General features: G+C 47.0%; 2 annotated features.

The window, feature by feature from the left end:
- Positions 6–235: a silencer, noted in NCBI's record as "silent region_7826". NCBI's record gives its function as "represses an Ori minimal core promoter by ATAC-STARR-seq in GM12878 lymphoblastoid cells {active_cell/tissue: GM12878}" and the evidence as "EXISTENCE:reporter gene assay evidence [ECO:0000049][PMID:35858748]".
- Positions 15,016–15,516: an enhancer, noted in NCBI's record as "H3K4me1 hESC enhancer chr16:85917116-85917616 (GRCh37/hg19 assembly coordinates)". NCBI's record gives its function as "activates a minimal SCP1, AML or CMV promoter by ChIP-STARR-seq in primed H9 embryonic stem cells {active_cell/tissue: H9 hESC(primed)}" and the evidence as "EXISTENCE:reporter gene assay evidence [ECO:0000049][PMID:30033119]".

Here is a 16,345-nt window from a genome sequence, read left to right as displayed (position 1 = left end):
AATCACTTTCCCGCCCCCGGCAGCCACGGCAGTGGGGTCCGGGCCTCTTCTGGAGCCGCTGGCCGAGCCCCGCTCCTCACACCTGGGGTCCAGGGGCGGCGCTGCAGGGGGGCTTTCCCAGGAATTCCGGAGGCCCCGCGGAGCGACCTGGAGGCGTCCTCCGCCTTCCAGGCCGGCTCGGGCGGACAGCCCCGGGAGTGCGGCGGCTCCCGAGCGAGCCACTAGCAACGAGCCGGACGGTGCAGACCGTGCGCCTGCGGCCCATTAATCAGAATCCACAGCCAGAAACTAGCTGCCCCGCCGGTCTCCGCCTTCACGAGCGCTGGATATTGGGCAGTGATGCCCGCCGCGCGTTATTCCACGGGGACGGGGACGCGAAGGTCGTTTACAGACCGTCCCGGGTCACCGGTGGCCTGCGCTGCCCGGGAGGGGCAGGAGAATCCCAGCTTCAAAGGAGGCCACTGCCCGCTGAGACCGCGACTGAAACAGGAGCATCGAAGGTGCTAGGCGCTAGAAGGTCCCCTTGGGGAAATTTTCATCACAAATCCTTTTCTCCAGAAAGCGTCAGCGTTAAGAGGTCCTCTGTGGGACCAGCCGCTCCTGGGTGGGCGTTAAGATGTCCCCTGTGGGACCACCCGCTCCTGGGTGTGCACTGACATTTATTGTAAAAATGAAGTGGGGGAGAGGGAGAACGACACTGGAAAAAGAAAGAAATCCCTGGAAACGGAAAAAGAAGCGTTTCCGCGTTCTATCCTGGGGAAGCCCTGGAATGGGGGGAAAATGAGGGTCGCGATTGGCTTTTATTGCCCAGTAGAGAATCACACATGGGGGCTGTTTTTTGCGTTGAGCTTTTCAGGGACCTATGAAAATGTTTGAGACTGAAAATTTTATTGACTGCACAATACAAAAAGTATACTGCAAATCTGAGATTAATAAATGTTTAAATGAAGGTCCCCAAAACATGTTAATTTCATAATTGTAATGTATTGATGGATAAATGTTTCATTATATTTTGAAACTATAACTTAGACATCACTTGGTATGAATTCCCTAATGCCGTGATTGCCGGGAAGTCATAGTCATTAGAAAGTGAGTTCCGCAACATCAAATAATTTCAAATGAAACTACTGTTTTAACACTCACATTATTTAAGAGTATTTAGAGAATATGAGAGTGTTTTAATATATTTGCTACGATGTGGGATGGAGCTTCCAGAAATCAGAGCATCTAGGACATCAGAAGTTCTTAAAACAGCTTCTGTATATGTTTACTCTCATATATTTTTATCAATGTGGCCCTAAGCCTACACAGATTTACTTACAAATGCTGTCTGCTGCACAAAGATGTATCCTCAAGTTTCCACCAACATCCACTTAAAGACAAGGGTAAGTGAATATAGGAAATCAACAGTGGAAGGGCTCCAGCACGTGTCATTGGCAGTAGGTGTCACTATGTACATTACAGGAACTGGCTTGCATTAACACTGCTCCAGAAACCCCATATTTTCCACGTGTTGGTTCCTTGCTGCCTAGGAACAATTTCTAACCAGATGTGTTTAGTTCTGCTCTTATTTAATGGGTATTTATGAGGCAACTACTATGTGCTAGATATAGTGCCAAGAACAGGAGCCCCAAAGAATGAACATAATGTCTCAATCTTTGAGACACTCCTGCCCAGGAGTATCAGAATCCAGAACCCAGCCTGCTCTGCCAGTCTCAGCCTCTCAGCCTGGAGGCTCCACGGAGCCTGCCCCTCAGATATCGGGAGGCAAAAAAAAAAAAAAAAAAAAAATCCTTTAGCGCTTGTGTGTGTTATTACTTGTCATATTACAGTGTGGTTCTATTCTTTATTCTCTGGAATTACATTTCCAATTGAAAGACCATTTTTCTGGCTGGGCACGGTGGCTCATGCCTGTAATCCCAGCATTTTGGGAGGCCGAGGCGGGCAGATCACCTGACGTCAGGAGTCCAAGACCAGCCTGGCCAACATGGTGAAACCCCTGTCTCTACTAAAAATACAAAGAACTTAGCTGGGCATGGTGGCGCACGCCTGTAGTCCCACCTACTCAGGAGGCAGGAAAATAGTTTGAACCCAGGAGGCGGAAGTTGCAGTGAGCCGAGATCACGCCACCGCACTCCAGCCTGGGCAACAGAGCAAGACTCCGTCTCAGAGGACGGGAGGGGAGGGGAGGGGAAGAAGAAAGACCATTTTTCTGTGTACACAAGATTTCTACTCACATAATGGAAACACAGTTTTCTTAGGTTTCAAAGGGCTTTCTTTCCATTTTAGTATATGGGATCTAGCCCTTTCTAACAGCTGCATATATTTCATTGTATATATTTGCCTTAATTGAGGTCATCAATTTCCTAAATTGATTTGGGTGATCAATTTGATGACCTGAATTGATTATTACCTAATTGAGCATATCTAGTGAGCTCAGATCACCACTCCTGATCTGGAAGGTGTGTAAATAGGTATGCACATATGTAAAAATCACCCTGTCATTTTTTCTTGTCATATAAATTACAAAAATGACTACAATGAGGACACATGGCAATAAATGGTATCTCATGCAATACCATTTATTGCAGCAAAAAGATGCAGAGCATGGTCCCAGATTCTCTGATCCTTCCTTCCAGCATCTCACGATCCCAGTAAATTTCGTCCTGATCTCGCAGTGGCCTACTTACCCTCCGGCCTCCTCATCCCTTCCCTGTTGATTCTACTTTGCTACCCTACCTTTCTGTCTTCAGGGGCTTCCCATTGGTAGCCACACAGGTCAACTCCTGGCATCTAAAAGTCATACTTACCAACCTCATCTCTTACACATTCCCGCAGGAACCCCTGTTTCCATGGATGGCAGCCTACCACAGCAGGTTTGGGAGTTAGGCCCCAGTTCACATCCAAGCTCCCTGACTCACCAAATGTGTGAGCTTGAGCAAATGACTTAACCTTCCGAAGCCTCAGTCTCCTAATCTGTATAATGGCATTGATGGTAATACTAGGTTAAACTCTGTGACATCACCTACATTTAAATTTTGACCTACAGAAGGGCAGTTCACTATGGCGTAACCCAATTGTTCCTGCCTCTTAGGATTGGTGGGCATTGAGTGAGATAGTATATGTGTGAGAGAGAGAGATCTCTTTCCTCCACCTTGCTCATTAGTGCAAGAGGAAAAGGTCAAATCATCACCAATAAGAGAAGTCTAGAAAAATGGACACAGTGATTCCTAACTCTAAGAATGCCAGTTGCAGACCAGCGATAATCTGCCTCCATGAAGAATGGGAAGGGTTCCTCCCGTCTGGTCAGCTCCCTAGCTCCTCTAACACCTTCCTGCCCCCACCAGTTAACAGGTGGGTGCTTCAGACTGGTTCTCACCTCCTCACTTATGTTTCCAGCTTTTAGAGACCCTCTCCTCTTCATGGAGTCCCTTTTTCTTCCTCTTCACCTTCCTTAATTCCTATCTTCCTGATCTCCAGAAACCTTCCTGTCGAGCCTCCGTACCATCTATCTTGCTTGGCCTAAGCTGCCAATCTGTCTGCCCAGTTCTTACAGTGGAGCAGGTGCAGAGGTGATGAAGCAAGGGCACCTTCCACAGCCAGCCTCAGGACCAAATCCCTGGGAGGCCTTCTGACCCGGACAGTGCCTGCTATGGACCAGATGATGTCCCCCCAAATACATATGTTGAGCCCTAACCCCCAACGTGATGGTATTTGGAGATGGGACCTTCGTGGGGTAATGAAGTTTCGATGAGGGACTAGGGACACCAGAGAGCTTGCTCTCACTCACTCTCTGCCCATGTGAGGACACAGTGAGAAAGCAGCTGTCTGCAAGCCAGGAAGGGAGCCCTCCCTAAACCTGACCATGTTGGCATCCTGATCTCAGACTTCCAGCCTCCAGAACACTGAGAAAATAAATGTCTGCTGTTTAAGCCACACAAGCTATGGGGTTGTATGATGGCAGCCAGCACTGAGGAAGGCAATGCCGCAAGGGACACAGTGAACTTAGCTTGACTCTTCGGCTGCACTTTGCTAATGGGATCTGGGTACCTCTTCTCCACTTCTGATGATGTCACAAAAGGCCCTCCTTTATGGCCCTGGCTGTTTTTCCTGTCTTGGGAAAGGGTACTCTTTCTCGAAATGGGAATAGGAGTGGTGGAAATCCATCCAATCTTAGATATAAACTGCTTAGAACGGTGCCTGACACAAAGTAAAGGCTCAATAAATTGTAGTGCAAGAGGGTGCTAGATTCTTTCTGGCCCGGCTTCTACAGGGACCAATTCCATGAAGAGCCAAAGTGTATGAGACTTACATGTGCAGATTTACCCCTTGGCCAGAGGAGAGACATCAAATGGGTTCAGGAGAGAGGCAGGAGGTGAGAGTCTTTCCAGCTGCGGACCCCAGCTCTCCCTTCACACTTTCCAAGCCAAGCTTAGCAAGTGAGTTCAAGAGTGCTCAGAAACATGTTTGCTGAGAGCACAGGTGTCAACTCAGTCTTGAGAAAGCCAGAGTCACCTGCAGATGGGGCTCTGACTCCTGCCCTGGAAATTGACAGGGCACTTGGGTGGTGGCGCCAAGAGCCTGCACTGCTCTGGGAATGGTGGCAGCCCCAACGTGTGCTGGGCAAGGCAAACGCACACGTGTCCCATAGGCCAGAGCTGGGCCACTCAGCAGAGAGCCAGTGTGGGGTCCTTCCCTCCAGGGCCTCCTGGAAAGGCAGGGGAACGTCAGGAGAGAGGCTGAAGGTGTGTCTTCAGGCACTGGGGGCTGAGTTACAAGCAGCACTTGGAAGAAGATGCCTCTGTTGAGGTTAAGTCGGGAGAGAGGCTCCCAGTGGGGAAATTCAGGTAAGCCCCCAAACTGCCCTGAGTGGGGCTGCATTAACCATCTTTCTGCGCATACAGGGATGGCAGCATTACATACTTTCTAGGCCCAGAGGGCACAAAACCACCAGCCGAGTACTAACTCTCCCAGTGCCTCATCTCCCTGGTAGCTGTAGGGCACGGGGGATGCAGGATTCTCACTAGGATCCATAGTCTTGGCATCGTCATTAAATCTCCATCCAGGGACCTGACAGGCTTGTCCATTCCTTTTCACCCTCCTCTTCACCCCGCAAAATACTACAAATCTCAATGCATTTCCTATGGTGGCTGTCACAAATTATCACAAACTTAATGGCTTAAAACAGCACAAGTTTACAATCTTTTTTTTTCTTTTTTCTTTTTTCTTTTTGAGACAGAGTCTCGCTCTGTTGCCCAGGCTGAAGTGCAGTGGCCCAATCTCGGCTCACTGCAAGCTCCACCTCCCGGGTTCACGCCATTCTTCTGCCTCAGCCTCCTGAGTAGCTGGGACTAGAGGCGCCCGCCACCACGCCCGGCTAATTTTTTGTATTTTTTTAGTAGAGACGGGGTTTCACCGTTTTAGCCAGGATGGTCTCGATCTCCTGACCTCATGAACCACCCGCCTCGGCCTCCCAAAGTGCTGGGATTACAGGCAAGAGCCACCGTGCCCGGCCGCAAGTTTATAATCTTATAGTTCTTCGGGTCAGAAGTGCAACACGGTGTCACTGGGCTAAAATGAAGGTGTCGTCAGAGCCGGCTCCTCCTGGAGGCTGCAGCAGAGAATCCACTCCTTGTCTTTCCAGCTTCTCTCCAGCTGCCTGCCTTGGCTCACGGCCTTTTCTTCCATCTTCAAAGCCCACAATGGCTTTGTGAATGGCGAGTGAGTCTTTCTCACATCACATCACTCTGCCCTTCTCTCCTGCCCCCTCTTTTTTTTAAGAGACAAGGGCTTGCTCTGTCTCCCAGGCTGGAGTGCAGTGCTGCAATCATGCCTGACTGCAGCCTCGAACTCCTGTCTCAAACAATCATCCCACCACAGCCTCCTGAGTAGCTGGGACTGCAGGTGCACTACCCTTTTCCACGTTTAAGGACCGTGTAATTATATTGAGTCCACCTGGATCATCTCCCTATTGTAAGGTCAGCTGATTAGCAACCTTCATTCCATCTACAACATGAATTTCCCTTTGCCATGTAGCCTAACACAATCCCAGGTTTCATGGGCTGTGACTTGGACCTCTCTGCGGGCCATTAATCTGCCTACCGCATCATCCTTAAGATCCACCTTAAATCTTGTCCTCCTTCCTACTCCAGCCTTCACTGACCCACATTTTAAAAACACTGGACTCCAGCTATACTGAAATCTTTATAACATAATTTGGTACCTGCTCTATATTATGAATTATTTTGCTGAATTATTCTTGAGGTAAGGGGGAAAATCTTATGCTATTTCAGTGCCCCTACTTATCCCAACACTAAATTAAAAATGCCTTAAATAGACAAGGTATAAGCTCATTGCAAAAAAAAAAAAAATCTCAGGGAGGGCAAAAGGAAAGAAAGCTGGAAGAACATTGCTCATCTCTGTGCTCTAGGAGGTGTATTAATTTTTATACCTGTCTGAGTTGAGGCCCCAATAACTCCCCAGGCTCAGTGATTCCGCGGGAGGAGGGCCCGCAGGACTTGCCATATAGTTGCGCTCACAGCTACCGTTGATTGCAGCAAAAAGATGCAGAGCGAAATCAGCACAAGGAAAAGATACACGGGGTGAGGTCTGGAGGAAACCAGGCCCAAGCTTCCAGAGTCCTCTCCAGTGGAATCCCAGACAACGCACGTAATTCCTCCATCAACAAGTTGCGACAATACATTTGAGATGCTGTCAACCAGAGAAGCTCACTAGAGACTCAGAGCCCTGGGTTTTTATGGGGGGTGCTGGCCACATAGGCACCTTCTGCCTGGCGTGTTCCAAAAAACTCCAGATCCCAGAAGGAAAGCAGGTGTTCAGCATAAACCACACTGTTTGCACAAATAGTTTGGACACAGTGAGGCACTTTTATCCGTTAGGGTGGCAGGAACCCCCCTGAAATCCAAGTTCCCGGACAACAGCTAAGGTTCAACCCCAGAACAGGCCTTCCTGGAGGCAGCACTCCCAGCCTGCCGTGCGAACTCTTCTGCACATGCTCCTCGTTCCGAGGAGGGTCCGGTCTGCCGCACCTGCTGCTGGTTCCAAAGGTGCCTGTGGCTAATTTACCTGCCATTAACTACCTGTGCTTAGCTGCCTGTGACTAAGGTAAGCTGCATTTTCTCATGCTTCACTTGGTCGGGGGGCTCAAGCTTAAGAACAACGTTGCCACTACACACCAGTGTTTCAGAGGAAGGTTGGAATGAAAACAGGAAGCCCCTCACAATCTGCTGCGGCCCCTCAGAGGGATTGCCCTACCTGATGTGGGTGGTCTGTAAACAGGTGTGCACATGTGGAAACATAATCCTGCCATCCACTTAAGGTTTATATGACAAAAATAAACACAATGAGGGCACCTGGCAAAGATGTTGGCTCAAGCAGACTTTGGTATGCCTTCTCTAGGTCAAAAAACTAAGACCCAGTCACATGCATGAGCAGCCCTGGGGCTACAGACACTGGAAGGTGCATGACTCACCTGGGAAAACCAAAGAGTATTTGAAAGTTGGCAGTTTACCCTGGCAGATAAGGAAAAGATTCACTTATCAGTCTCCACAACACAGAACAAATGACTACAGTTTATCAGGCAGTTGAATACAAAGGATGTGTGTGCATATGTATAGATATATATATATATACGTGCACAAGTGGTAAATGTTTTCGTGTAAGAAGCTATCTTACAATAAAAGTGAGATCTCTAAAAGGCAGTAAGTTGGGACCGACTCAGGGGACTTGGGAAGAGAAATATTACTGGGTAAAATGTATCTGCCCTAAAGACATGAACTTTGACCCCATTTTGCTTCCAGTCATTTCTCTTTCACTGAGTCAGTTTGCTCTATCTGTTCATGGTGGGTTTGGATGGTGATTTACGAATTGCTAATATTGCCGCAATCTGTTTCTTTACTCTAGAAGGATTACAAATAAAAACCTGAGATTTCTATTTTTTATATCCTAAAACTCATTACTTTTAAATGCATTGGCGTTCATTTATTGGCTGTTTATTAAGCAGCTGTAATGTATTAGGTATTTAATTCATAACCCTCCTTCGAGGAGTGGCAAAGTATGTAAACATTTAATGTAAAGGAAAAAATTTCATTAAGCATTCAATAACGTTTTGCCTTTCAGGTATAAATTTTTATTCACATTTATTACTAACGGAAGAACTTGAAACAGTCCCAGGGGAGGAAAAAAAAACTTAAGAGTAAAAGGTTTCTTAAGCATAGATCAAAAATATCCTGAACATTTAGGGCTATTGCCAGGAAATACTGGTTTGTGAAAAATATAAATTCTGGGCCAGGCATGGTGACTCACGCCTGTAATCCCAGCACTTTGGGAGGCTGAGGCAGTGGATCACTTGAGGTCAGGAGTTCGAGACCAGCCTGGCCAACATGGTGAAACCCTGTCTCTACTAAAAATACAAAAATTAGCTGGGCTTGGTGGTAGGCACCTGTAATCCCAGCTGCTCAGGAGGTTGAGGCATGAGAATTGCTGAAACCTGGGAGGTGGGTTCACCTATGGGACTCCAAGCCTGCTTACAAATGAAGACAATTACAAAGTCAACAATTACAAAATATATATTATTGTATATTATATAGATGAGTGTTTTTAAATTTTAGCATAAATAAGCAACAGTGGGACACTTATCAAGATGTAGGTTCCCAGGAGGAGCCTCCAGGGATTCTGACTCAGTGCATCATGAATCTATGTGCTTAGCAAGCAGTGCCAAATAATCCAGAACGCTCACCCATGTTCATCTCCAGCTTACCTTTGCAGATGTGCAGCAGGTGCATCTGTGAGAAACAAATGGCAGAAGCACAATAAAATATCAATACAACAACAATAATTTACCTCTAAGGAGAATCACAAACTTTGAGCGTGGTTAGAGATATTTTTAAATGCAATCCTAGAAGTCCATTTTTACCCTGGCACTTAGAGACAAGACGGATGATTTTGTAATTGTCTTCATTTGTAAGCAGGCTTCATTTCGGACTTTGGTGGCATATGGTAGTTGTGTGTCAGTGGGCAGAATTTGCCCCCATGCTTACCTCAGTCCACTTAATAATGGGCTGTGCTTTAACAATCTTTCTACAAGTGGAATGAGGTCCCTGGTGACGTGGGAGCCACCTGTCCCTGGAAGCATGAAGGGAACACATGCTAGACCGCCTGTTAGAGGTGATTGCAGTGTTGCTGTGTGATTTCAGGAGCGTGTACTACTTAATCCATAATCTCCAAGTCCCTTCCAATTTTAAGGTTCTGTGATTTGAGGTCAACTTCATTGCCACCTAATAGGTCTTTAGTAAGTATTTTCGGAACTGAAGCAGTCAAATGCACCCCAGGTCGTAATTCCCTTCTCTCTATTTCTTTTGGCTGTTTCTTTCTCTGTAAGTGCATGGTTGGCTGGGATGCACCAAATGATTGCCTACAAAGGAAGGATGCAAGGAAGGGTTCCGAGGCAGAGTGGGTTCCCCAGGCCCAGGAGTCAACAGGGACCCTTTGACTCCCAGCACTGAGTTCTAGAACTCAATGCAGGAAACTACGGAGAAGAATCAATTTGCTAGGCAGCTTTGAGGGGCACTAGGAGTAGCAACTTAAAGTTGCAGCTTGCTTTCTCTTTTACAAAATACTTGCTCTTAAATCATCTCCTTTGCCCTGCCCAGTAGAGCAGGGCAGGCGTGGTTATCCTCACTTGACAGATGGGGAAACTGAGGCTCGGGGGGCTGGAGCCTCTTGCCTTCAAACCCAAGACTCTTTCCACTGCTCTGCATTGCTTTGCTCAGGGAGTGGAGGCGCAGTCCAGAGCAGGGGTGTCTAATTCACACCTCTGTTTCCTTTTCTATGAAATGAAATGGTTGCACAAGTGAGGCACTCAGGTTTCATCCAGACCTAAAAGCCTATGATTGTACATAATCTTCCAGGCAGAGTTGTTCTACAAACTGAAAATGAACCTACTGGGAACTTAGTGGGGGAGTTGCTGGGGACAGGACACAAATGGCTGAAATTTCTTGTCGAGTTAGTCATTTCCTTCCTGACAGCCTTCTTCTGGTTCTGATCTCATTTTTTAGCCCCTGTCACCCACTCATGCAAATAAATGCATCATCACTTTCAAGCCAAGCCAGATGAAAGTGCAAACAACATCTGCCTCATGGGCTGCTCATGGAACGTGTATAAAAATTAGGTTCAGGTAGGTCCACGTGAAGCCTCAGGAGGTGCATTAATTCTCTTTCCTGGCTGGGTATGGTGGCCCATGCCTATAATCCCAATACTTTGGGAGGTTGAGGTGAGAGGATCCCCTGAACCCAGGAGATAAAGACCAGCCTGGGCAACATAGCAAGACCTCATCTCTGCTAAAAATTTAAAAATTAGCTGGGTATTGTAGTGCATGCCTATAGTCCCAGCTACTCAGGAGGCTGAGACAAGAGGATGTCTTGAGCCCAGGAGTTCAAACTGCAGTGAGCTGTGACCACAATCACTGCACTCTAGCCTGGGTGACAAAGCAAGACCCTGTTTCCAAAAAAAAAAACAAATCTGTTTTGTCACTTGGCTCCATTTCTTGGGTTCCTCTTGGAACCTCAAGGAGTTTGGAACTATCCCTTTATGGAATAATTTCCAGGGACTCCTTTTTAGATTTAAGTAAATGGTTACACAGTGGTGATGGAAGCCTGTTTGTTTCATCCCAGTATGTAGTTGTTCTGGAGAGACAGTGAGTGCCAGATATCACTGCTGAAACTCCCCCACATTGACTGGACTAGGCATGGTTATCTTTCTGAACTATGAATGTCAGATTTCTTTTCCCTAAAAATTATTCTCATGCTTTTATTTCCTTATTTGTTGCTTGGATTGGGTTATTTACTGTTTTGACACATAAATTTCCTCAAATGACTGACATGATATGTCAATTTATCACTGAGTACTTATCCATGACAAGACCCTTCTCTCTTTTCCTGCAGTGGCGTGAAAGTAAATTTATCTTCAAGTGTCTTGAATCTGTATTACATAAAGAAGAATGCATGGTCTAACACAGAGAAATGGCTGGTGTTGGGAGGAATTCTCGATAAGAGGGTGTAGGGGTTTGGGACAAGGGGACAAACAGTAACAAGAGTGGAGTTGATTTGTCACAAATCCTGAACTGCTCCGTAGGAGCCACCAGGTTTTTTGATTGGGAGAATAGGAGTATTGTGGGGAGAGTGGGAGGGGATTAAAATATTGGCAGCCAAAAGTCAGGAGATGATGGGCTTGAGTCCCCATAATCCATGAGGATTGAGGGGACATTTTAGGACCACTATATAGTGCTTAGGATCCCTTCAGTGAAATTTGTATTGGAGAATGGTAGATAGCTATTACGGGGAAGTCAGTGCTTTATATTATGGGGTTTACTTGGCTGAGGAATTTGGGATTTAAGTCTGTTTGATGTTGAGTGTCTGAGGAAGGGTTTTGTTCTTGACATAACAATAAGTAAGGGATGCTTTGATGTAGGGCTGATAAATGAATGATTCCTCCTAGTTTGTGTAGAATGTCCCTTCCTAATAAAGGAGTGGGACAGTGAGGAATGACCAAGAAAGAGTGAGTGTGGGTAACTCCCTGAAATGAGCAGTATACAGGTGGTGTTTTGTATGGGGTTTCTTGTATGCCCTTCATGCCAACAACAGAAACCGATAATCATTCTAATGGGCCTTTATATTCAGTTAATACCGATAGGCATGCCCCATTATTCAAAAGAAAGAAAAAAATTTTACCGGATGCTGTCCCAATTACCCTGGGTTCAGTGGACTCACTAGATGTGGGGCAAAGAATCCCGGGCACCCTCAGTCTTCCTTGATCAGCGCCAGCAGTGAAGAAATTTCCTCCTGTCTTAGTTAGGGGGCTTCATTATGAGCTGCACCTGAACGGGGGAGGTGTCCCCGTAGGGGGCAGTCCATTGTCCAGCGTCCCCAGAGACCACAAGTTGGTCATGGTTTGGTGGGAGGGGCCGAGGTTTAGGACAAGGCTTTGCCCGGTGCCCAAGGTTGCTACATTGGAAAGAGACACGCAGAGAGGTGGAGGAGCTTTCTTTCAGGTTACTGGGAGGCTGACTATTGGGCAAAACACGCCTCAACAATCACCCAATTCCCCAATACCTATTTCCCCTCATACAATAGACGGAAAGTACATCAGTGATTAGCTAGGGCTAGGGAGTTTGAAAGAAAATGAGGAGTGACTGCAAATGCATATGGGGCTTGTTTTTGGGGTGAGAAGATGTTCTAAGCTCGATGGTGGTGATGGTTACACAGTTTTGTGAGTGTACTAAAAGCTATGGAGTTGGACACTTAAAATGGATGAATTGTGTGGTATGTGAATTATCTCTCAATAAAGCTGTTTTTAAATATTTTATCTAACTGGATAATTCATAGAAAATTAAAAAAAATCCAAAAAGCCAATTAGCACACAGAAAGATGCTCAACTATGATAGCGGTAAGGAAAATGCAACTCAAACAATGACCTAGACTCTCATACTCCTTATATCAGCAAGACTCTCAAAGTCTACCAACACCTAGCAAGGCTGAGAAAGTAGAGAAATTGGGAGCATCGTATTCACTCTGGCACATATCAGTGGGTGAAGCTGACAGAACCACGTGGAAAATTCTGGCATTGTCTCCAACGGTAAAGATGTCATGCTTGGCAGGGCGTAGTGGCTCACACTTATAATCCCAGCACTTTGGGAGGCCAAGGCAGGTGGATCACTTGAGGTCAGGAGTTCAAGGCCAGCCTGACCAACATAGCGAAACCCTATCTCTACTAAAAAATACAAAAATTAGCCGAGTATGGCGGCGCACACCTATAATCCCAGCTACTTGGGAGGCTGAGACAGGAGAATTGCTTGAACCCTGGAGGCAGAGGCTGCAGTGAGCCAAGATTGCGCCACTGCACTCCAGCCTGGGCGACAGAGCAAAACTGTCTAAAAAAAAAAAAAAAGATGTCATGCTCTATGCGTCAAGAATTCCAATTTGAGGCAAAGACCCTCGATCATACCTGTGATCAATAAGACACAGAAAAAAATATGTACGTGGGCACCATCTGTTATGGCACAAAATTTGGAAGCAACATAGACGCACATCAAGAGGTCGTGGATAACCTGTGGCATTTGAATACAATAGATACAACATCATAGTTCAAATGATAAACCTAGAAAATACAATTTTGAACAAAAAAAAACACAAGTTACAGAATAACTGCATGCAATATCATGGCGTTTATATGAAGCCAGAAACACACACCACAGAGTAATGTGTTTATGAAATGACGTCAGTAGACATAAAATAAAAATGTGTATGAGGATGATAGAGACTAATTTCAAGGTAGTTGTTACCTCTGAGGAGGAGGAAGTAAATGACATCCCCATGAGACGTGGCCAACAGAGTCCCAGCCGTGTCTGCTTTATTGTATATAACAAAAGCAATATGAAGTGAATATCACATAATGTAAAGACTGACAAAACTGGAGGGGAACATTCACTGTATTATTCTCTTCTGTATGCTTCAAAATCTAATGACTTTTGACAAAAAGCATTGATACCTAGTGCTACCTCGAAATGTTCATGGGAATACACTCGTGATAAACTTGGAGATCGGCAGGTAAACTCTTCAAAGCGGTATCCGGAAAGATCACCCAGCCAGAGCCTGGCTGTACAGGCCCAGGGCCAAGAATGGATGGGGTAGGGGGAGGCTGCTGCAAGGTGGAAGCCAGGAATTCCAAATTCAGACCTGGGGAATGCAGAAGCCCAGAGCCAGGGCACCTTAGCGGAGGAAACCCATGATGAACTTGCAAGAGGAAGCATGTCTGGAGGTGAGAGCCAGAAACCAGAACAGGGTAAACTAATAGCAGAAAGTCAGCTGAAGGCTGAATCCAGAGATGGGGGGTGGGTAGGAAAGGAGAGTCCCAGGCAAGAGTCAATGCACACAGTGAGAAGAAGCCATTTACGTAGCACTCACATTGGGACACAAGGACGAGACACTGCCAAGGGGCAAATCCAGGACATGGAAGAAGTTCTACTTGGTCCTTGAAGCAGGACTAACCTGTTGACATGGCTGTTCAGAAAATGGCCGGGCAAGGTGGCTCACGCCTGTAATCCCAGCATTTTGGGAGGCCCAGGCGGGTGGATCACCTGAGGTCGTGAGCTCAAGACCAGCCTGGCCGACATAGTGAAACCCTATCTCTATCAAAAATATAAAAATTACCCGGGCATGGCAAAGTGCACCTGTAATCCCAGCTACTGGGGAGGCTGAGACCTGTAATCCCAGCTAGTGGGGAGGCTGAGACAGGACAATCACTTGAACCTGGGAGGCAGAGGTTGCAGTGAGCCAAGATCTCAACACCGCACTCCAGCCTGGGCAACAGAGCAAGACTCCATTTCAGAAAGAAAAAAGAAAACGAACGTGCACAGGGTGTGCTAGGTGCTCAGGAGCTATGAAGAAGCCAGTGGCCTCCCTGGTGGGGAAGTTTTGACAGGTGCACAAATCACTACAATTCAAAGCAAACAATCCATGTGGTTGAGAGGATCCAAACCGGGCAGGCACTGTGGGAATTCACAGGGAAAGATAAATCAAATAAAATCCACGAGGCTCTTTCCCCTGGGCTGTTTGCTGGGGCTTCTCCACAGCCTCGTGGGCAGCAGGCTAGCCTCAGCCTGGGGATGCAGATGTGCAGCAACTGGGATGCAGAGAGGTGAAAACAGTCGCCCCAGGACTGAGAGGAGGAGCAGGCGAAAACCCAGAGTGCTGGTGTGAAGTGAGTGGGGCTTATCCCACCACATCCAATTCACCCTACACAGGAACAACCAGAAACGGCTTTGTGGGGGAAGCAGCAGGTACAACAGGTTTTCCACAGGTGTGGAGGAACGGACCCAAGCAGGAAAAAACATAGTGCCAGGAACGCCAGAGGAGCAGTGGTCTCCGCGTGTGTTCTTGGACTCTGCAGTGCACACAAGGAGCGGTGTGATCCTGGACCACGAGCATACCCAGGGGACAGCGGGAGGCACAGCCCGCCGCAGCCATCATTAGAGGAGGAAGGAGCACACAGGGTACTGGGAGCCCAGCCCAGAAGGACTCTGTGCTAGAACAGGGACCGTGAGTGGGACAGGCCAGGCACCGCTGGCTGCTGAGCACTGAGAAACACCAAGAAGCGTCCCTCAGGGGCATCTGGGAGGACACAGAGGAGGCGTCCCTCAGGAGAATAATGAGGACTTGAGGGGAGGTGTCTTTCAGGAGAATAAGGAGGACACAGGGAGGCTTCCTCAGGAGAATAAGGAGAGGACACAGGAGAGGCGTCTTTCAGGAGAATAAGGAGAGGACACAGAGGCTCCCTCAGGAGAATAAGGAGAGGACACAGAGGCTCCCTCAGGAGAATAAGGAGAGGACACAGGGGAGGCTTCCTCAGGAGAATAAGGAGAGGACACAGGAGAGGCGTCTTTCAGGAGAATAAGGAGGGGACACAGAGGCTCCCTCAGGAGAATAAGGAGAGGACACAGAGGCTCCCTCAGGAGAATAAGGAGAGGACACAGGGGAGGCGTCTCTCAGGAGAAAAAGGAGGGGACACAGAGGCTCCCTCAGGAGAATAAGGAGAGGACATGGGGGACGCGTCCCTCAGCAGCATCATGGACCAGGGAACTTCTTTCGGTGTCTTCCTCCCCGGCTCTCCGTGGAATTCAGGAAAGTTTTCCGTGGCTGTGTCTCATTTTCGCCACTAACCTGGGGGTTTCCACAGGGCAGCCCTCTTCCTAGCTGCTCCTCTCTCCAGCTTGGCAGACACCCATCCAGCTTCTCACCCCTCCATGTGTCTCTGCACTGCACGGAACTCTGTGCAGAAAGCATTCGTGTTTTACATTCTCTATTTTTCAAATATGATTTCAACACTGTTTACTATAGTAAACACTACACATACTCCAAGTAAGGAAAAAAGTAAATCTGTGCCTTGGCAGTTGCCAAGCCTTCCAAATATGACTTGGGTCAACCTTGTAGATATGCCAACGTCCCCTGAATTTTACCCCTTAAATTGGGCGATTTTAGAGGGTGTGAATTCTACCTCCATCATAAGAAATGACGACAAACAAGCATCAGATGTTATCAACAGGTTGAGGAACAAAAGCTGTTTAAACGCAGCATAATGGTCTATTTTTGGCCATTGTGCTATTTCAGAGAAATTGTAATTGAACATTAAAACTAAAATCACCAAGATTTTGCTCTACATGTTTCCTAAGCTATTGAAACATGGTTATCTCCCAAGGTCTCCCACTTCTCTATTCTGGTTTTGACTTGAGGAAATTTAAAAATTATGTCATCAAAGAGATTGATGTTCCCTC

Source organism: Homo sapiens, chromosome 16 (genome assembly GCF_000001405.40).
Source record: "Homo sapiens chromosome 16, GRCh38.p14 Primary Assembly".
NCBI classification, from domain to species: Eukaryota; Metazoa; Chordata; class Mammalia; order Primates; family Hominidae; genus Homo; species Homo sapiens.
This window is presented reverse-complemented; position numbering and strand designations above follow the sequence as displayed.